At 47.2% G+C, this 20753-nt stretch overlaps 1 protein-coding gene across 5 annotated transcripts in view, besides 3 other annotated features; it reads left to right on the top strand.

Annotated features, from left to right (window-relative positions):
• The window catches only part of HTR3B (5-hydroxytryptamine receptor 3B), a 50157-nt gene extending 38045 nt beyond the window's left edge, over nt 1-12112 (top strand). For 4 of the 5 annotated variants that reach the window (XM_024448767.2, NM_006028.5, NM_001363563.2 and 1 more), the window contains 3 exons: nt 6015-6225; nt 7606-7788; nt 8935-12112. In XM_024448767.2, coding sequence (XP_024304535.1) covers nt 6015-6225; nt 7606-7788; nt 8935-9170 — 630 coding nt within the window. In that variant the 3' untranslated portion in view covers nt 9171-12112. Of the gene's footprint in view, nt 1-6014; nt 6226-7605; nt 7789-8934 lie in introns of those variants that run through there. The other variant, XM_047427869.1, reaches the window with a different exon arrangement.
• Nucleotides 6115-6244: a silencer, noted in NCBI's record as "fragment chr11:113813804-113813933 (GRCh37/hg19 assembly coordinates)". NCBI's record gives its function as "represses an EF-1alpha promoter that drives an FKBP-Casp9 reporter gene in an ReSE screen in phorbol 12-myristate 13-acetate-treated (for megakaryocytic differentiation) K562 erythroleukemia cells {active_cell/tissue: K562(+PMA)}" and the evidence as "EXISTENCE:reporter gene assay evidence [ECO:0000049][PMID:32094911]".
• Nucleotides 14998-15551: an enhancer, noted in NCBI's record as "H3K27ac-H3K4me1 hESC enhancer chr11:113822687-113823240 (GRCh37/hg19 assembly coordinates)". NCBI's record gives its function as "activates a minimal SCP1, AML or CMV promoter by ChIP-STARR-seq in naive H9 embryonic stem cells {active_cell/tissue: H9 hESC(naive)}" and the evidence as "EXISTENCE:reporter gene assay evidence [ECO:0000049][PMID:30033119]".
• Nucleotides 19743-20628: an enhancer, noted in NCBI's record as "H3K4me1 hESC enhancer chr11:113827432-113828317 (GRCh37/hg19 assembly coordinates)". NCBI's record gives its function as "activates a minimal SCP1, AML or CMV promoter by ChIP-STARR-seq in primed H9 embryonic stem cells {active_cell/tissue: H9 hESC(primed)}" and the evidence as "EXISTENCE:reporter gene assay evidence [ECO:0000049][PMID:30033119]".

Genomic DNA, 20753 nt, shown 5'->3' on the forward strand with positions numbered 1-20753 from the left:
TACCTTTGTGTACTTATTATTACCTGGCTTTAATGGATAATGAAATTGTGGCATAATATTGCTAACACCTGAAGGGTGTCTAATGGGGAACATGGACTGAAACTAAAGTGCTTTTTCTTCCCTTTCTGTGGAATTTAAAGGCACCAGCTCCTTTAGTCCATTAGAAATGATGAGCTGTAGGTAGGGGCAGTTTTGCAGAGAGCAGTGTCTCACTGAGCAGGTGACATGCCTTCTACTCAGCAGAAGCAGGAGTCACTGCTTCTTGCATGATCTGCAGAGAGGTCGCCCTCAGAAAGACTGACCTCAAGAGGATAGCCTCCATTCAGGCTAACTCCACACTTCCATTATATTGGAACTAAAAGTAGTGCTACTACCAGACTCCAGTACAATTCAATAAACATCTTTTGAGTTCTTACCATGTGCCAGGCTCCATGGTGAACACTTAGGACATAAAGATGAATAAATGAAGGCTCCTGACATCTATCACAGATCCCCAAAATCTGCCCAGGGAGACATAATAGCAATAACCACAAAGCTGAGCACTTAGCCTATGCCAAGCACCATTTTAAAGTTTGTACCTATAATCCTCACATCCCTAGGAGATGAGTGATCCAAGTATCTGCATTTTTACAAATAAATGAATTGAGGTGCAGAGAAGTTAAGTAACTTACAGGAGGCTGCAAGGTGACTGGTGGAGCCTGGACTTGAACCCAGGCAACTTGACTCCAGAAACTATGTGCCTAATTCCATATCATGCTGACACACAACTAAAGGCAGTGCAGTATATTCTGGTCCATTCTTTGCCATTTGCCCACTGGGCATTACTTGGCAGGTCGCGTGTATTAGTGTCACAAGGCTGCCATAACAAAGTAGCCCAAACTGGGTGGCTCAAAACAACAGAAATTCATTTTCTTGCAGTTATGTAGGCTGTAAATCTGAAATCAAGACTTGGGCAGGGTTGGTTCCTTCTGGGCATTCTGAGGGAGAATCTGCTCCTTGCCTCTCCTCTGCCTCTGGTTGCTGCCAGGAACCTGTGGTGTTCCTTGGCTGGTAGATGCGTTGCTCCCGTCTCTGCCTCCATCTTCACATGGCCTTCTCCTTGTGTGTCTCTTCTCTTCTTATCAGAACTCCAGTCACATTGGATTAAGGGCCCACTCTACTCCAGTATGACCTCATCCTACTCTAGTACATCTTCAATGATATCATTTCCAAATAAGGTCACATTCTGAGGTTCCAGGAAATACATGAATTCTTGGGGGCCCTCTTCAACCTAGTAGAGTCTGCAACCCAAAATTCACTTCTGCTCCATGTGCAAATTCATTCAGCCGCATCCCAACATCCCCCAAAGTTTAACCCAGCATCATTCCAGTGTCAACTCTTAAGTCCAAAATATCATCTAAATATAAACTCGAAAAGTCCCAAATCTCATTGTTTAAATGATCTAAAGCAGGTAATGACCTTGATTATGGTCCATTCTGGGGCAAAATTTCTCTCCTGCAACTGACTCATGAAACACTCAATCACCAGAATCTGCTGCCTGATCCTACAAGATGGGATAAGGGCAGGGAACTGTCTTATTAATAGTACTAACTTCAGTATTTAGGATAGTACCAGACAACCTGTTCATGCTCAATTAATGTTTATTGAACAAAGGAATAAAGGGCTCTGATTATCCAATGAGATAATAAAAACAAAAAATTTCTGAAAACTATATGATGAAATTAGAGTTTATTTAGGCTGCACTGGGTTTGCAGGGAAAATTAGTCTAGGCCTGGCACTGTGGCTAACGACTTTGGGAGGCTGAGGCAGGTGGATCACCTGAAGTCAGGAGTTCGAGACCAACCTGGCCAACATGGCAAAACCCTAAAAATGCAAAAATTAGCTGGGCGTGGTGGCAGGTGCCTGTAATCCCAGCTACGCAGGAGGCTGAGGCAGGAGAATCGCTTGAACCTGTGAGGCGGAGGTTGCAGTGAGTCGAGATTGCGTCATTGTACTCCAGTCTGGGCAATAAGAGCGAAATTGTGTCTAAAAAAAAAAAACTAGTCCATAGGCAACATTGCCCTTAAATAACCACAAGAAAAAGGTGGATTCTTTCTTCTGGAAGAAAACCAAAACCCAAAACTATAGGTACTATTTTGTGTGTCTTAGAAATGCGAACATCCTTCCTAAAGGTAAGAGAATGGATGAGGTGGTTTTGGAAGGCCTATCTAGTTTTGCGATTCTATAAGCCAAACAAAGACAAGAGACGGCTTTGCTTTATGTTACAGCAGAAGCTAATTGTCCACCCTTGTCCCTATGTCTTTTCCCTCTGCCTTCATTTACTGTTGACATCCAGTGAGGACTATCCTTCTGACAGGGTCAGCTAATAATATGCAGGGTTAGTGAAAAATGAAAATGCAGGACCCCTTATTCAAACATTTTTAAGAATTTCAAAATAGCACCAGTGGAGCACTAAACCAAGTGCAGGGCCCTTTCAAGAGCAGGCTCTGTGTGACTACATAGGTTCATATCCACAAAGCCTGCCTACCTCCTAACCTCTTAGCTCTTGCCACAGCTCTCCCTCAGATGATTTCTCGGGGAACACGTGGTCTGATAAACCTGTACTTTCTTGGAAATCAGGGACCTTGAGGGGCCACACCATCCATCTCTGGCTCTGTCCCAGACATAGATTTGCTGTCGTGTCAGCCTCTGGGTGGAGAGGTGTCATCTCAGCTTGTTTTCTTTACATAGGGACGTGCTGTAGAGAGCACAGCTGCTCATCTCAGTTGTACCCAAGATGTTTGGCAAGGCAAAAGTAAACTGCTTTTTGAAAAAGGAGGAAATCAAGGCATGGAGGAGTTGACTCCATCATCCAGGAGGACTTAAACTAGCCCATGCAGACACTTGGAATCAAAGGGCTCTGGAACTCTGTCCCCTTGGTGTTTTTTTTTTTTTTTTGAGACAGAGTCTCACTCTGTTGCCCAGGCTGGAGTGCAATGGTGGGATCTCGGCTCACTGCAACCTCTGCCTCTTGAGTTCAAGCGATTCTCCTGCCTCAGCCTCCCGAGTAGCTGGGACTACAGGCACATGCCACCACACCTGGCTGATTTTTGTATTTTTAGCAGAGATGGGGTTTGACTACTTTGGTCAGGTTGGTCTCAAACTCCTGACCTCAAGTGATCCACCCGCGTTGGCCTCCCAAAGTGCTAGGATTACAGGCCTGAGCCATCACACCTGGCCTGTCCCCTTGATTTTGAGTCTGGGCTCTTTCTGCTTAACCAACATGGCTTCTTGTACTTTGCTTATGTTTTTCTTCCCCTTTGTATAGTATCTGCCAAGTCTCTAGGGAGTGTTCCCATTTCTACCCTCCAGAGTCAGCAGGGGTGGTCACCCCGTCACCCCGACCCCACAGGGCTAGATCACCAATAGCCCAGAATGGGCCACAACATAATACCCCCATGGACTCTGGCCACTTGATTCCCTTTTTCCTGCCCCCACCTAACCACAGCCATCTCAGTCACTGCATGATGACAGGAGCTAGAGGGGTGCAGGCTGATGACAGTTAATTTTGTTGTTGCTTTCCTTGTTGACTGCACTTTGGTAGAAATGTGTTTTAACCAGATTATTGCAAAGCAGTGAGTGTCGCTCTGGTTTAGGTATTTGCAGCCAATTATGGTTTAATGTGAATGACAACAGGCAGACAACAATCTGCCAAACAACTCTGGCTTGCCAAGCTCCACAGAGTCGGGATGTGCTCCCAGACCCAATGGCTGGAGAGCCCCCACTCTTATCAGCAAGGTGATGTTTCATCTCCCCCAGCCAAGCTCTTCTCCCGGCACCTCCTGCTCCATCACTGGCCTTTGCACTTCATCTCTGCCCTGGCTCATTTCTTTGTGACACTCTTCTCCAGTGGGAGATGGGGATGAAGGAGAAGAACCCTGCACTCAACTCAGAGGTCTGGTCAGGTCAAGAGTTGTAGCTATCTTGTCCCGGGAAAAAGCACTGGGCTTGGAATCGGAAGATGTGGGGGCACATCCCAGCTCTGTCTCTTACTCAACTTACTCACTTAAGGGAGCTCAGCTTTCCTTTTGAAAATCTATAAAGTAGAGGCTATTACCTACCAAGTTTGCAGCGAGGATTAAATAAATCACACCATATGTGTGAAAGTGTCCGGCACACTATCTGACACATATTGAGCCGTTCATTGTTTGGTGAATCAGAGAAACGGGAGATTTCAAATGTCATTTTTGTCCAAATCCAACAGCAAAGGGTCCAGAATACTCATTTGTTTAATAAACATTTATTGAATACCCACTGTAAGATAGGTCTTATTTTTGGCCCCTTGGGGGATTATCTAACTACCCCAGAGATGGGATGAGATGACAGTCCAGGCCGTAGTGGGGAAGCAGCCCTGCCATTCACCTGTTTCTCTTTAGGAAGGATGAGAATGGAGTGTGTGCTTATTAAAGACACTTGCCATCATCATTTCAAAGAAGTGAGGTATAAAAAAATGGCAACAATAGTAGTAATTTTATGAGACCCAAATTCCAAGCTACAAGAGCAGCTCTGTGTGGCCAGCACAGTGCAGGCCAGCAGGACAGCTTCAGGCGGCCTCCACTGAGACGCACTCCTCCACCCCCTGCATCTGTGCTCCTGGAGACTGAGCTGTGGCTTGCAAAGATGGGACCACTGGTCATGCTTGACCAGTAGGGAGAGGAAGCAGGCAGGGGAAGCAGTGGCAGGAGATGGGAGGAGGGAGGAGGGCCGAGACGGGGTACTTAGCTCTCCATTTCTGCCCCAGTGGAGTCAACACCAGGCAGGCTAAGAGAAAACCACAGGTCCTATCTGGCAGCCTCTGCACAGCTTTCTCTTCAGGTCTGGTCACCACTCCAGCCCTTGACTCCTTCAGGCCTAAGGGTGGTAACAGATCACCCAGTCCCCGAAAAGCCCAGGGGTCTGCCCGCCATCTTGTGGTTTCCCTAAAGCCTGCTCACACCTTGCAGATAGTCTCATTTTTGAGCCGTCTTCAAACTTCCAAATTTAATTGTGCAAGTTTTCCTGCCCGGAATGATAGACACACAGGTGCTAAGGAGTTCAGAATCCAAGGAAGGAGATAGATTAGACCAAAAAGTAATACAATAAGCCAGGCACGGTGGCTCACACCTGTAATCCCAGCACTTTGGGAGGCTGAGGCAGGGGGATCACCTGAGGTCAGGAGTTGGAGACCAGCCTGGCCAACATGGTGAAACCCCATCTCTAGCAGAGCTTGCAGTGAGCCGAGGTCGCACCACTGCACTCCAGCCTGGGTGACAGAGCGAGACTCCGTCTCAAAAAAAAGAAACCCCGTCTCTACTAAAAATACAAAAAATAAGCCGGGCATGGTGGCACTCACCTGTAGTCCCAGCTACCTGAGAGGGTGAGGCAGGAGAATTGCTTGAGCCTGGGAGGTGGAGGTTGAGCTGAGATCGCGCCATTGCACTCTAGCCTGGGCAACAAGAGCGAAACTCCGTCACACACACACACAAAAGTAATACAATATATTGCATAATAAGTGGTTTCAGAAGGAAGATTTTAGTTTCAAAACAGTTTCTCACTTACCAGCTGGGTGAGTTTAAACAAGGAATTCAACCTCTTTGAAACTCAGTTTCCTGGTTTGTAAAATGAAGTTAATGATACCTGTTTGTAAAATGAAGTTGATACCCAGCCCTTAAAGTTGTGAAGACTGAGTAAGTTAAGTTTATGAGCCACTGAGTCTGGTGCCTGGCACACAGCAAGTGGTAAGTAAATGCTAGCTGCTGCTTCTTATTATCACTATTAATAATATTAATATTAGCTCTGTGTAAAACTTAAAGGATTTTTTTCTCTTTTCTAAACCAAAAAGTAACCTGAAACATATTTCTAAGATAAATTAGACAGATTTTTCACATTATGCAAAAACGTTGGGTCTTCGGGGAGAATTCCTGGCTATGAATTTGGCCAAATCTGAGTCTGTTGGCCTAGATCCTCTTTTCATCAGACCACTTGTTCCCGGCCAGGTGGTGATGCGCAGGCACCCCCTGGTCTATGTCGTGAGTCTGCTGATTCCTAGCATCTTTCTCATGCTGGTGGACCTGGGGAGCTTCTACCTGCCACCCAACTGCCGAGCCAGGATTGTGTTCAAGACCAGTGTGCTGGTGGGCTACACCGTCTTCAGGGTCAACATGTCCAACCAGGTGCCACGGAGTGTAGGGAGCACCCCTCTGATTGGTAAGCAGCCTCGGGGTCACTGGACACTCATCTTACATGACCCCTGTGAAAGATCTAATGCTGGCCAGGCATGGTGGCTCATGCCCGTAATATCAGCACTTTGGGAGGCCAAGGTGGGAGGACCACTTCAGCTCAGGAGTTCAAGACCAGCCTAGGCAACATAGTGAGACTTTACTAAAAATTTTAAAAATCAACAGGGCATTCAGTGCATACTCACTACAACCTCTGCCTCCTGGGCTCAAGCAATTCTCCTGCCTCAGCCTCCTGAGTAGCTGGGATTATAGGCACACACCACTACACCTGGCTAATTTGTTGTATTTTTAGTAGAGACGGGGTTTCACGATGTTGATCAGGCTGGTCTTGAACTCCTGACCTCAGGTGGTCCGCCCACCTCAGCTTCCCAGAGTGCTGGGATTACAGGCATGAGCCCACTGTGCCTGGCCGCTTTGTTTGTTTTTATCCCCAATTTCAACCAATTACCCAAAGTGACTGAGCCATTGATTTCAGCTATTCAGGAAGCTGAGGCAGGAGGATTGCTTGAGTCTAAAAGTTTGAGTCTGCAGTGAGCTATGATCCCACCACTGCACTCCAGCCTGGGTGACAGAGCAAGAACGGAAGGGAAGGGGAGGGGAGGGGAAGGGAGAGAAAGAGAGAAAAAGAAAGAGAGAAAGAGAGAAAAGAAGGAAGGAAGGAAGGAAGGGAAAAAAACAGAAGAGCAAGCCAGATGCAGTGGCTCACACCTATAATCACAACATTTTGGGAGGCTGAGGTGGGAGGATTGCTTGAGCCCAAGAGTTCAAGACAACATAGTGAGGACTTGTCTCTCTCTCTTTTTTTTTTTTTTTTGAGATGGAGTCTTGCTGTGTCTCCAGGCTGGAGTGCAGTGGTGTGATCTCCGCTCCCTGCAACCTCCGCCTCCTGGGTTCAAGCAATTCCCCTGCCTCAGCCTCCAGAGTAGCTGGGACTACAGGCGCCCGCCACCATGCCTGGCTAATTTTTTGTATTTTAGTATAGACGGGGTTTCACTATGTTGGCCAGGATGGTCTCGATCTCCTGACCTTGTGATCCACCCGCCTCAGCCTCCCAAAGTGTTGGGATTACAGGCGTGAGCCACCAAGTCCGGCCGTGAGGCCTTGTCTCTACCAAAAATAAAAAAAAATTAGCCTGGTGTGGTGGTGTGTGCCTGTAGTCCCAGCTATTCAGGAGGGTGAGGAGGGAGAATCACTTCAGCCCAATACGTTAAGGCTACAGTGAGCCATGATTGCACCACTGCACTCCAGCTTGGGCAATAGAGCAAGACCCTGTCCCTAAAGAAAACAAAAAAATCTGATGCTGCATTTCAGACTGGAGGCTAACTGCACCTCTTCTGGCTTCTCTCAGGGCACTTCTTCACCATCTGCATGGCCTTCTTGGTTCTCAGCTTAGCTAAGTCCATCGTGTTGGTCAAATTCCTCCATGATGAGCAGCGTGGTGGACAGGAGCAGCCCTTCTTGTGCCTTCGAGGGGACACCGATGCTGACAGGCCTAGAGTGGAACCCAGGGCCCAACGTGCTGTGGTAACAGGTGTGTGAGAAGCCTTGTGTTTCTCCCCCGTCTGGATTGATCACCTTAAAAATTCATTCCCGTTGATGATGTACTAGGTATTGCGTTGGCCTATGTGAAAAACCTACAACAACTGCTTCTTAGCCTGGGTGTGGCATTTTATATTATCTCTCTGGAGACTGAAGGCTGCCTGCTTCTGGCTTTCTAGAAAGTCTCATTTTGTTGTTTTTCTGTTTGTTTTGGTTTGGTTTTTTGAGACAGGGTTTTGCCATGTTGCGCAGGCTGGTCTCGAACTCCTAGGCTCAGGCGATCTTCCCTCCTTTGCCTCCCAAAGTGCTGAGATTGCAGGTGTGAGCCACTGCGCTCAGCTGAAAGTCTAATTTTGGCTTGAATTTCAGGCCCTCAGTTACTCTTTGTTTTGACAGAATCTCGCTCTGTCGCCCAGGCTTGACTGCAGTGGCACAATCTCTGCTCACTGCAGCCTCTGCCTCCCAGGCTCAAGCTATTCTCCTGCCTCAGCCTCCCGAGTAGCTAGGACTATAGGCGTGTGCCACCATGCCTTGCTAATTTTTGTATTTTTAGTAGAGACAGGGTTTCACCATGTTGGCCAGGCTGGTCTCGAACTCCTGACCTCAGGTGATCCACCCACCTCGGCCTCCCAGAGTGCTGGGATTACAGGTGTGAGCCTACCGCACCCAGCCTATTTGTTTGTTTTTATCCCCAATTTTAACCAGTTACCCAAAGTGACTGAGCCATTGATTTCAGAATAGCACAGTGCTGGCATGCACGTGCACACATGCATACAAGGAGCTTGTGTACATTTAGGTTCTAGTTGCTTAATGTGAACAAGTATAAGAATCATCCCAGCCCCTAAAGCTCCTACTGAGTCCATTTGGGCTGACCTCTAACTCAGAAACTCTCCTGGACGGATCTAGCACACATACACCCTGCTTACATAATAACAGCTCTGACGTGTTCTCTGAGGCTTCCTGCAGTACAACTTTGCCTCGCCTAATCGGGTGGGGAGAGTACCCAACCCAAACACAACCCACTGCTCAGTTTCACCTGCAACTTTCCTTGAAGGATGAGGCCATCAGCTTCAAGAGAAAGTCCAGGTGGGTCTTGGTAGTCCCTGGCTCACCCAGGGTGTTTTCCTCCATCACACAGAGTCCTCGCTGTATGGAGAGCACCTGGCCCAGCCAGGAACCCTGAAGGAAGTCTGGTCGCAGCTTCAATCTATCAGCAACTACCTCCAAACTCAGGACCAGACAGACCAACAGGAGGCAGAGTGGCTGGTCCTCCTGTCCCGCTTTGACCGACTGCTCTTCCAAAGCTACCTTTTCATGCTGGGGATCTACACCATCACTCTGTGCTCCCTCTGGGCACTGTGGGGCGGCGTGTGAAGACTGAAGTGTTCTTCAGTAATTGTGCTGGCACTTAGGAGAGAGAGGAGGGGGAATAATAGTGGGTTAAAAAGCTTTCTGGGTCGGGTGTGGTGGTTCTTGCCTATAGTCCCAGTGCTTTGGGAGGCCATAGCAGGAGGATTGCTTGAGCCCAGGAGTTCGAGACCAGCCAGAGCAACATAGTGAGACCACATCTCTACCAGTAAATAAATAAATAAATAAATAAATAAATAAATAAATAAATAGCTGGGCATAGTGGCTCATGCCTGTACTCTCAGCTACTTGGGAGGTTGAGGTGGGAGGATTGCTTGAGCCCAGGATTTCAAGGCTGCAGTGAGCCATGATTGCACCACTGCACCCCAGCCTGGGTGACAGAGCAAGACCCTGTCTCAAAAAAAATAAAATAAAAGGCTTTCTGCCTTCATTGCCTCTCCATTGAGTCCAGCTTCATACACCTAATAGTCTGCTGTGTGACCCAAGGATCATATGTTCATGAAAATGTATAAACAGTATGAGTATACAGTAAAAAAGTAAACTTTCCTTCTTATCCCAGTCCACTCACCCAAAGCAACCACTGTTAGTAATTTCTTCCAGAAGATTTCTAGGCACACACATGCATCTATGTATGGTTAAGCAGTTTTTTAAAAAGTGTAAGATAGCTCCATCTTCCAGCCCTGCCTTGGCCATTTATTCAGTCACCCATTCAACAAAACCTTTATTGAGTATTAAGTCCTAGGCATTATGTTAGGCACACCAGAGAATACAAAATAAGTCAGCACAGGTTATTATTCACTTGTTGTGATTCCCATGGTCAACCTGGTACCAACCAACCAGAGCATAAAATTCCTGCCATATCCCTCACCTTCTGAGGCTCTTGTTACCACTTCCCAGCTAAGTCCACTGCCTCCACCCTCTTCCTGTGCCCCTTCAGCAGTGCATCCCCACTGGAGAGAACCCAGGTGCCAAGGCTTCTTTTTTTTTTTTTGAGGCAGAGTCTTGCTCTGTCACCAGATTGGAGTGCAGTGGTGCAATCTTGGCTCACTGTAACCTCCACCTCCCGGGTTCAAGCAATTCCCCTGCCTCAGCCTCCCGAGTAGCTGGAACTACAGGTGCATGCCACCACACCCAGCTAATTTTCTGTATTTTAGTAGCAGGTGCCAAGGCTTCTAAGCCCAGTCTAGCACATCATTTAGTCCACACACAAGGGGCAATGCATGGAGTGGGAGGACAGGCATAGTTCACGGTCCTTTGCTTCAAGGAAGTTATAATCCACTGTCCCTGAACTAGTCAGCTAGGAAATACTACACACTAAGTTGCTTTAAGAGAGATTTATTTTCTCACCAGTCTGGAAGCTAGAAGCCTAAGATCAAGGTGCAAACAGGGTGGGTGGCTTTCTTCTGAGCCCTGTCCTTGGCTTGCAGGTTGCTGACTTCTTGCTTTGTTTTCACATGACCTTTCCTCTGTGCATGCTCATGTCTGTGTCCAGATTTTCTCTTCTAACAAGGGCACCAGTGTTGTTGGTTTAGGGTCCATCCTAGTGACCTCTTTTAACCTTAATCACTTTTTTCAAGGCCCTATGTTCAAACAGTCATATTCTGAGTACTAGGGGTTAGGATGTCAACATATGAATTTTGGGGAGTGGGCAGCAGACAAAGGGGACATATTTCAGCCCATAACACTAGTGATTCCGGAGGTTTAGCAAGTCCAGATTCTGCAGAGTAGGCTGGCAGGCTGGAGACCTGCTGACAGTCTTAACGCTGTCAGTAGAAGACACAAAAGTCCAAAAGCTGTTTGCTAGAAACTTTTTCCAGCACTAAAATTGCCTTTAGAAAAATCTGCCCCCCTCCATCCCCCCAAAGAAAAAGAATTTAAATTCAAACAGCCTTTACCTGCATCTTCCCTCTCTCATTACCTCCCAGTTAGTGCTCAGCGCCAATTGTCCATGAAATTCCACTGCTGCTGTTAATGAAATGAGGAACATAAGAAGTTTGTGAACAGGAAGTGTCCATGCAAACCTCCACCTGTTTCCTTCCTCACTTCCTACTTTCTACTGCTGGCCTCCTCTGCTTTGACGTGCTCAGTTAGGCATCACGGTCCTGATGTCACCTTAGCTTGCCATCCATGTCGATTCTGGCTTTCTCCACTTCCTCCTCCAGTTAACAGAGGAGGAAAGGAGGAAAAGGCCTGAGGTGAACTCCTCACTGTGGGGTCTCTCTCCTTCCCAACTATGTCTTAGAGAAAGCACCAGTGTCAGAGTCAGGAGTCCTGATGATTACGGTCCTGGCTCTGCCATTACCTAGCCAGGGGACCTCTGTGAGCTTAACTTCTCAGACTTCAACTTACCTTATTTGAAATTGGGGCTGTTTATATTTGCTCTACCCCTATCAAAGAGTTATGAGGATCAAAATGAAAAAATGTATTGAACAATGCTTTGAAAAGTAAATAATGGGGCGTGGTGGCTCACGCCTATAATCCCAACACTTTGGGAGGCTGAGGTGGGTGGATTACCTGAGGTCAGGAGTTTGAGACCAGCCTGACCAACATGGAGAAACCCTGTCTCTACTAAAAATACAAAATTAGCCAGGCGTGGTGGCACATGCCTGTAATCCCACCTACTCGGGGGGCTGAGGCAGGAGAATCGCTTGAACCCAGGAGGTGGAGGTTGCGGTGAGCCGAGATCGTGCCATTGCACTCCAGCCCGGGCAACAAGAGCTAAACTCTATCTCAAAAAAAAAAAAAAGTTTAAAGTGCTTTGGGAAGGGGGAGGGATAGCATTAGAAGATATACCTAATGTTAATGGGTGCAGCACAGCAACGTGGCACGTGTATACATATGTAACAAACCTGCACGTTGTGCACATGTACCCTAAAACTTAAAGTATAATTTAAAAAAAAGTAAATAATGCATCACAAAATAAAGATAAGACCTGCTTGCTATCAACAGATGGACTCCAGTCTTGAGTTTTTGGTGTGGGATCTGATTTCCAGCTCCCTCTATCAGAATCCAGTCATGGGGTCTGGTACTCTCCTCCAGTTGTTCCACTATTATAGGATCCAAAGGCCAAGGGCTGAAGTCATCACATGCCTCCTTACAGAGAAACTTGTGTGGCAGGGGTTGCCAAAGGGACTTCCCAGTCCATCTCACATGAAGCTCACCTTTGTTCCATTCGCAGATGACATTGCCCAGGTTCTTTACATCAGCCTCTAACAAGCAGCCCTTTAAGAGTGAAGCCTGGCCGCCAAACTGGTCCCCGGTACACTTCCTTCGTCTAGTGGCAAGTGGCCTTAATCACAACTGCAGCCCAGAACTCATTCAAAGCCCCAGAGTCAGGCCTGCATCCTGAAGCAATGACATTGTAAACCAAAAATAAAATTCTAAGGGCCCCCCAACCATCTGAATGGACTCCATCCTTTCAGTGAGGACATCCCAAAGACTGGGGTTCAGGCCATGATGGGCAGCGGGGGTCGGAAATGCCTCATGATGCCCTCCTCTCTTTCGGAATTCAGGAAAAGTTGACCAGCACCAGCATTAACATCAATACAGATCTTAAGTCTGATAAGAAACATTTACAATCTGGCTGGGCGCAGTGGCTCATGTCTGTAATCCCAGCACTTTGGGAGGCCGAGGCGGGTGGATCACTTGAGGTCAGGAATTCAAGACCAGCCTGGCCAACATAATGAAACCCCATCTCTACTAAAAATACAAAAATTAGCTGGGCATGGCGGCACATGCCTGTAATCCCAGCTACTTGGAAGGCTGAGGCAGAAGAATTGCTTGAACCTGGGAGGTAGAGGTTGCGGTGACCTGAGATCGCACCACTGCACTCCAGCCTGGGCAACAGAGTGAGACTCTGTCTCAAAAAAAAAAAAAAAGAAAAGAAACATTTACAATCTACTCTCTCTGAAGCCTGCTGCCTGGAAGCTTCATCTGCATGATAAAACTTTGGTCTCCACAACCACTTACCATAATCCAGACATTCCTTTCTATTGACAATAACTCTTTTAAACAATAGCCAATCACAAAAATTTTAAATCTACTTAGGATCTGAAACCCCTTGCCCCACTGGCTTTAAGTTGTCCCCCCTTTCTGGACGGAATCAATATGTATCTTAAATGTATTTGATTGATGTCTCATGTCTCCCTAAAACGTACAAAACCAAGCTGTGCCCTGACCACCTTGGGCACATGTTCTCAGGGTCTCCTGGGGGCTGTGTCACTGGCCGTGGTCACACATATTTGGCTCAGAATAAATCTCTTCCAATATTTTACAGAGTTTGACTCTTTTCTTCGACAACATCATGAACAAATGGCACTACAGATCTCCTCCTGGAATAGTGTCCCTCTGTGGTGGGAGGAATATGGGGTGCCAGCAGCCCTTATTTGCAGAGCAGCTTTAGCTCAGCCCCTCCAAATGTTCATACATTTCATGATTCCTGTTTCATAGAGAAAGGAAACTGAGGAACAGAGCAAAAATGGGATTCTCCCAGCTGTGAGCACTCCTACCATCTGCTCTTTCGCAGAATCCAAGGTGGTTTCAGCACTCACCAAGAAATCACAGCTCCAGTTCTGGGGACTTCACTGATGTCTAGAACAAAGACTTAGTTAACTCCCAGGCCAGCCAGGCAGCCCCAGTTCATCATGTTGTAGAACTTTCTCCTTAGTACAGCTAAAAACAGAGTCCTTGTCATACAGCCATGAAAAATTAGGCTTGCAGACACTTTGAAAATGGAATTTACTGGGCAAAAAAAAAAAAAAAAAAAAAAAAAAAATGGAAATAGGGACTCTCAGCAAAGCGAGAGTCTGCTAGCCAGTTTTCCCACCTCACAAATTGAATTCCTAGTTACCACATCCCAGAACAGGAGAGAGAGGCCAGGCTTCTCCTCCCCGCAGAGGGCACGAACTTTCCATGGCTCTACCCTGCTCTTCCAGCATGCGGGCTGGTCAGGGGTTCTCCAGGGATCTTCCCCCTTTGTACTTGGCTCTCTTAATTATATTTCTTTTTTTTTTTTCTTTTTTTTGAGACAGAGTCTCACTCTGTCGCCCAGGCTGGAGTGCGGTGGTGCGATCTTGGCTCACTGCAGTCTCCACCTCCTGGGTTCAAGCGATTCTTGTGTCTCAGCCTCCTGAGTAGTTGGGACTACAGGCATGCGCCACCACACTTGGCTAATTTTTGTATTTTTAGTAGAGACAGGGTTTCACCATGTTGGCCAGGCTGGTCTCGAACTTCTGACCTCAGGTGATCCTCCCACCTCAGCCTCCCAAAGTGCTGGGATTACAGGTGTGAGCCACCACGCCTGGCCTCAATTATATTACAAGACGACTTCTGAGTGCTGCTCTGATGACCTCCCCGAGCCTCTGCAGCCTTGAGTATTGCCAATAATCAGGTGGCAGAGGGTCTCCTTTTCCTCCCAAGATACCCGCCACACCTTTTGCAGTTGTCCTAGAGGAGCAGTAGCTGCCATGATAAAGGAAGCTGAGTTTTTCACCTTTTAAACCACTGTGACACAGCACGTCTCCTGGGGTCTGACGTCCCAGCCTGGATGAGCCAGAACCGGGAAGCAAATGAGAGTGGCCATGAGGGGAGCCAGAGTGAAAGTGCCGTTGCTAGAATGCATCCTCCTCTCAGCTCAGCCTCAAGGCTTCCCCAGATGCTCTCCCTTCTCAGAGATCTAATGACACATGTTAAGGCAAGGTTAGTAGAAGTGGGTGGAGTCTGAATTTTATCCTGCCCTGTGGCTCTGAGGCTTCTAGGAAACTTCAGAGCTTGGGTTTTAAGGTAAAATCCACCAATCAATTCTTGCATGGTGGATTGTCTCCTCAGGGCAGAGAGCCCTTCGGGAAGGCCGGGCTTCCTTCCTTGCAACCCCCTCTGTGACCCTGGGCTCCACCTCAGCCATCACCCTGTCGAGCTTAGCCTACCTTGTCCTGTTCCCTCGATCAGACTCCATCTCAGCAGCCGGAACTGCTCAGTCCTGACTTATTTACCTGCGGAGACAGTAAGAGCTTCATAATTAGCTGAGCAACAGCATGGAGGCTTTTATGAGCAGCCACGCTCCCCCCACACTCTGGTGTCCGTAATTGAAATGACCCACGCCAGTGATTAGATTAGGGGGCTGAAGAAGCCCAGCACGCTGCTCCCCGTCCTGTCGGGGAGGTGATGTAATTAAGTTTGTGCTTCATTTGGCAGAGGCTATAAAGCAGGAATTGCATCAAGGTTTTCTGCAGGGGTGGAAGGAACTGCTGGGCTGTGGGCGGCCTCTGTGTCAGGCAAGACTACAGATCTGAGTGAGAGGGAGCCCCTTGCTCCCCCTTTACCTTACCCTCTGTACCTCTCCCACAGCCTGTGTTGGCCTTTGAAGGCCTGGGGTGTGTGTAAGTCTAGCGGGAAGGTCATCCCTCCTCAGTGTCACTGGTAACCCGGGCTGCATGTGGACAGCCAGCTCCTGGTCACCCTGCTCATCCTCTTTGAAGAGCGCCAGGCTGAGAGCAAGGGAATCGGGTGCTGTTGGCAGTTCTTTTTCTCCCCATATCCCTGCCCAGTCTCGGCTTGCAGCTCTTCCTTCCACAAGCCTCCTTCTCTACCCCAGCCCCATTCTCCTGCGGTCTCTTCCCACCACCTGCCCTTTTGCACGCGGGGCTGGCTTTGGCCAAGTTGTGCAATAGCTGAAGTTTCTTCTCATTCCTTCCTCTTTCCCACGCGTATCTACCCAGGGACCTATGTCGGCACACTGCCCAAAGGACATCTCACTGTTGTGTTCTTCCCAAATCTACCTTCCCGGACACTGTGCACAAATGAGACCAAAAATCCTTCCACTGTGCCAATGCCTTTTAAATACAGTCATTTAAAATTAATCTGTTCTGAAATACAAACTGGTGAAATGAGTTCATGCCACATTTTCAACCTGGGGTATATTATCCCTAGCATGGCTCAGCAGTGTGCTAGCTATACTCAAAACCCCAGAATGAACATGATTTCCCTTCTAAAGCATTGGTTTTACTCAACAGTATATTGTTACGAGAATTATTTACTTTCCTATGAAAATACATACTGATATATTTTGGTGAAGAAACAAAAATTTAGAATAAAACCTTAAAGATACAACTTTATTTTTAAAAATATTTTATTTTTAATTATTAGGGGTACATATTTATAGGGTACATGTGATATTTTGATACAAGTATACAATGTGTAATGCTCAAATCAGGGTAACTGAAATATCCATCATCTCAAGAATTTATCATTTTTTTGTGTTAGGAACATTCCAACTCCACTGTCCAGTTATTTTGGGTTTTATTTATTTGTTTGCTTTGAGACAGAGTCTCGCTCTGTCACCCAGGCTGGAGTGCAGTGGCACGATCTCAGCTCACTGCAACCTCCGCCTCCTGGGTTCCAGCGATTATCCTGCCTCAGCCTCCTGAGTAGCTGGGATTACGGGTACACACCAGCAGGTCTAGCTAATTTTTGTATTTTTTAGTAGAGACAGGGTTTCGCCACGTTGGCCAAGCTGGTCCCGAGCTCCTGACATCCAGTGATCCACCCACCTCAGCCTCCCAAACCGTTGGGATTACAGGCATGAGCCACTGCGCCCGGCCTCACTCTTTGGTTATTTTGAAATGTACAATAAATTATTGTTGACTATAGTTGTCCTATTGTGCTACTGGTCACTAGATCTCATTCCTTCTATCTAACTGGATTTTGTACCCATTAACTATTTCCTCTTTACCCCCCCTCCCTCCCCACTACCTTTCCCAGCCTCTGGTAACCATCGTTCTGCTATCTCCATGAGTTCAACTGTTTTGTTTTGTTTTGTTTTGTTTTTAGCTCCCACATATAAATGGGAACATGCAATGCTTGTCTTTCTGTGCCTGGCTTATTTCACTTAACATAATGACCTCCAGTTCCATTCATGCTGCAAATGACAATTTAATTCTTTTTTATAGCTGAATAATATTTCATTGTGTGTATGTACCACATTTTCTTTATGCATTCATCTATTGATGGACACTTAGGTTGATTCCATATTAAAGATAAAACTTCAGGCTTCATGGAAGGGGATCCTTTTTGGCTCTGCCCTTGCTTTAAAATATATCATACTAATACAAAATTTGAGGTATTGGCAAGGCCAACAGATCAGGAGACAATTGCTGGAAAAGATAGTTTATTATTCCTAGTTCCCAACAGGGGAGCATGAGCCACACTTCACCGTGGGAAGTGGGGCATGCAAGCAGAAAACACCCAGGTTGATTACAGGGTTAGGGGGTGGGGAGGCGCTGTGAGGAAGAGCCTTAATTGTTTCTGCGGGAAAGAGCAGGTAAGGCAGGGTAAGCAGGCTTAGGACGGGCTAGCGTGAATCATTTCAGGGGACTCTGGGGCATGGCAGCTCTCCCTAGTTGTCTGATATCCGGCTCTGAGATGATTAGGGCATGTGGATAGTGGCCTGGAGTATGAGAACCTGATAAAAAAGGTTACTGGGGATGTGGGCACTGGATTGGTTTGTATTTGAAAAGTTTGCTTGTAGGCGAGTTGTTTGCTATCTCTAGGAATTGGCTATCCCTGGAAGGGGCAGTCTCGCCAGGGTCAGCAAGGCCCCAGATGTCAAAGCATCAGAATATAAAAAATAAAAGACAAGGTTAATACAGCCCCTCTGAGATTCCAGTCAGGACGTATCCTTTTCTTCTGGTTTTCTGGGTAGGTTAGCAGAAATGGGCAGCAGAACTCAAAGGACTGGCTTAAGAGGTGAAAATGTTGGATATTGTGGCAAGCATGCAGGAAAAGTTATTTGAGGAAAGCAATACCTGGGCAAGACATATTCATTCATGCATTAATCCACTCACCCACTCATTTGGTAGTAGTAGTTTGAGCATCAGCTCTGTGTCAGGGGCCTTGCCAGGTGCCAGAATAGCACCTTGAATAGGACACTCAGAGTTTCTGGCCTTGAAGGAGCTTTTAATCCAACAGAAGTGGTGCAGTAAAAAGAATACAGGTTTGGAGGTCAGAAACATGCATTTAAGTTCCATTACAGCACAGTTACTTAAAGCTGACATGGATTTCCTCTGAATGCAAACCTGATGGTTTGGCAGAAGCTGCCTGGAGTATTGTCTGGAGATAGATTTTTGGGCCACCAGTGGGGTCTGTGGGAAAGCATGCTGTAATGAATTAGTGCTGTCAGCCACAGGTGACATCAGGTGAGGGATAATCAGAGCTTGCCATGTGCCAAGCACTGTGCTGATGCTTTGGGTGGCAGTATTCTAGACCATTAGAATTTCTCTCGGTAGGTTGGTAGATAGGGAGGTAGGTAGGTAGATAGGTAGGTAGATAGATAGATATATAGATAGATAGATAGATAGAGTTATGGATAATACTAGGGATGTTATGAAAATTATATATATGAAGATATATATAATGACATCTCATAATATGTATAATCCTCATAATAACCTTAGTATTATCATTCCCATTTCACAGTTGAAAAAAGACTGAGGCACAGACAGATTAGGTAAATTGCCCAAGATTACTGAGCTAGAAAGTGACCAAACTAGGATTCAAATCTAAGCATCCTGGGTTCAGACTCCATGCTCTTGGACAGGTGCACTCTGACTCTAGACATGCTCCCTTCACCTCTTTCTTTTAAATAGAGACAGGGTCTCACTCTGTCACCCAGGCTAGAGTGCGGTGGCACAATCTCACCTCACTGCAACCTCAACCTTCTGGGCTCAAGCGATCCTCCCACCTCAGTCTTCCAGGTAACTGGGACTACAGGCATGCACCACCATGCCCAGCTAATTTTTGTATTTTTTGTAGAGATGGGGGTCTCACTATGTTGCCCAGGTTAGTCTTGAACTCCTGGACTCAAGGGATCCACCTGCCTCAGCCTCCCAAAGTGCTGAAATTACAGGCGTGAGCCATTGCGTCTTGCCGAGCTTTACTTCTTAAAAGCCACTCATATTTGCCAACTTTATATGTAAGAGGGAGGGGCTCATGTTATAATAAATTAATTTCATTTCCAACCCCACCACTCATTTGGTTTGTGACTCTGGGCAAGTTACTTCACTATCTTAGAATCTCGGTTCTTTTCCATCTGGAAATTCTAGAAAGAGGTGGGTTTTGTTTGTTTGTTTGTTTGTTTGTTTGAGACAGTCTCACTCTGTCACCCAGGCTGGAGTGCAGTGGCACGATCTCGGCTCACTGCAACCTCTGCTTGTCCTGGGTCCAAGCGATTCTCCTGCCTCAGCCTGCTGAGTAGGTGGGATTACAGGCACCCACCATCACGCCCGGCTAATTTTTGTATTTTTAGTAGTGACAGGATTTCACCTTGTTGGTCAGGCTGGTCTCAAACTCCTGACCTGAAGTAATCTGCCCACCTCGGCCTCCCAAAATGCTGGGATTACAGGAGTGAGCCACTGCACCCAGCCTAGAAAGAGGTGTTTTGCTGAGGTATTGAGAGAATGGAATAAGATAGATTTATTGTTCAGTTCTCAGGGAGTGGGGAGGGATAGCTTTAGGAGACATACCTAATGTTAAATGACGAGTGCAGCACACCAACATGGCACATGTAAACATATGTAACTAACCTGCACGTTGTGCACATGTACCCTAAAACTTAAAGTATAATTAAAAAAAAAAGAAAAGATAAGATTTATTAAGTGCTGAGCACAGTGCCTTGCACTCAGGCATTGAAAGGATAGGAATTCTTCTTCATCACCACCTTACCACAGGGCTGTTATGAGAGCCCAGGGAGATCACATATGAAAGCGCTTTGTAAACTCGCCGGGTTTGCTCCTCAGAGTGTGGGTCCAGGACCAGCAGCATTAGCATCGCCTGGAGACTTGTTAGAAACGCAGAATTTCAGGTCCTCCCAGACCTCCTGAATCTGAGTCTGATTTCGAAGTGTTCTCTCAGGGGAGTGATGTGCACATTGTCTTTGGAGAAGCAGGGATGGAAGAACGATGGAGGTAAAAGGTGAGAGCGCAGACTCAGGGAGGCCTGAGGAGCTGGGTGTTCAGGGGCAGCCCAGCGTTACATGCAGCCCACCCCTGCTGCCAGGACAGCTGGGCCCACGGGGCACCTGCCAATCACTGTGCTGCACACGGTAATCTCCCCGCCTCACAATCAGAGCAGTCAAGCACTCAGCACAGCTGGGCAGCTGAATTATAGGCTGCAGGCAGATGGCAGAGATGGCTCTGCGTGTGCCGTCCAAGGAGAGAGTGAGTGAAGGGCAAAGAGGGCCTCTTCCACAGCCCCCTTCCCCTGCAGTGAACACCCTCTTTTCTGGAGAACAAGACTGGGCTGCCAGCACCAGCGATCAGGTGGCCCCCCGTTTCCCAGAGCTCACTTGCTGCCCTGGGCCAGCCTCCGGGCCCTCCTGCTTGCTGACTTATGGTCATGGTACCTTAAGGGACCATCTGCCCGGTGCCCTTAGTTGTGTGAGTCCCTCTTCCTGAGGGAGAAGCTTTCTTTAGCTGACTCTCCTCCTACAGATGCAACCTTTTTGTTCATCCAAATGCTTCCCTTTCCCCGGAGCGTGAAACATAAGACATCAGGTGGAGGTAGGCCTGAGACCAGAGGTACCATGCGGTTGTCATC

The sequence above is a fragment of the Homo sapiens genome, chromosome 11, assembly GCF_000001405.40.
Source record: "Homo sapiens chromosome 11, GRCh38.p14 Primary Assembly".
In the NCBI taxonomy this organism is placed as follows: Eukaryota; Metazoa; Chordata; class Mammalia; order Primates; family Hominidae; genus Homo; species Homo sapiens.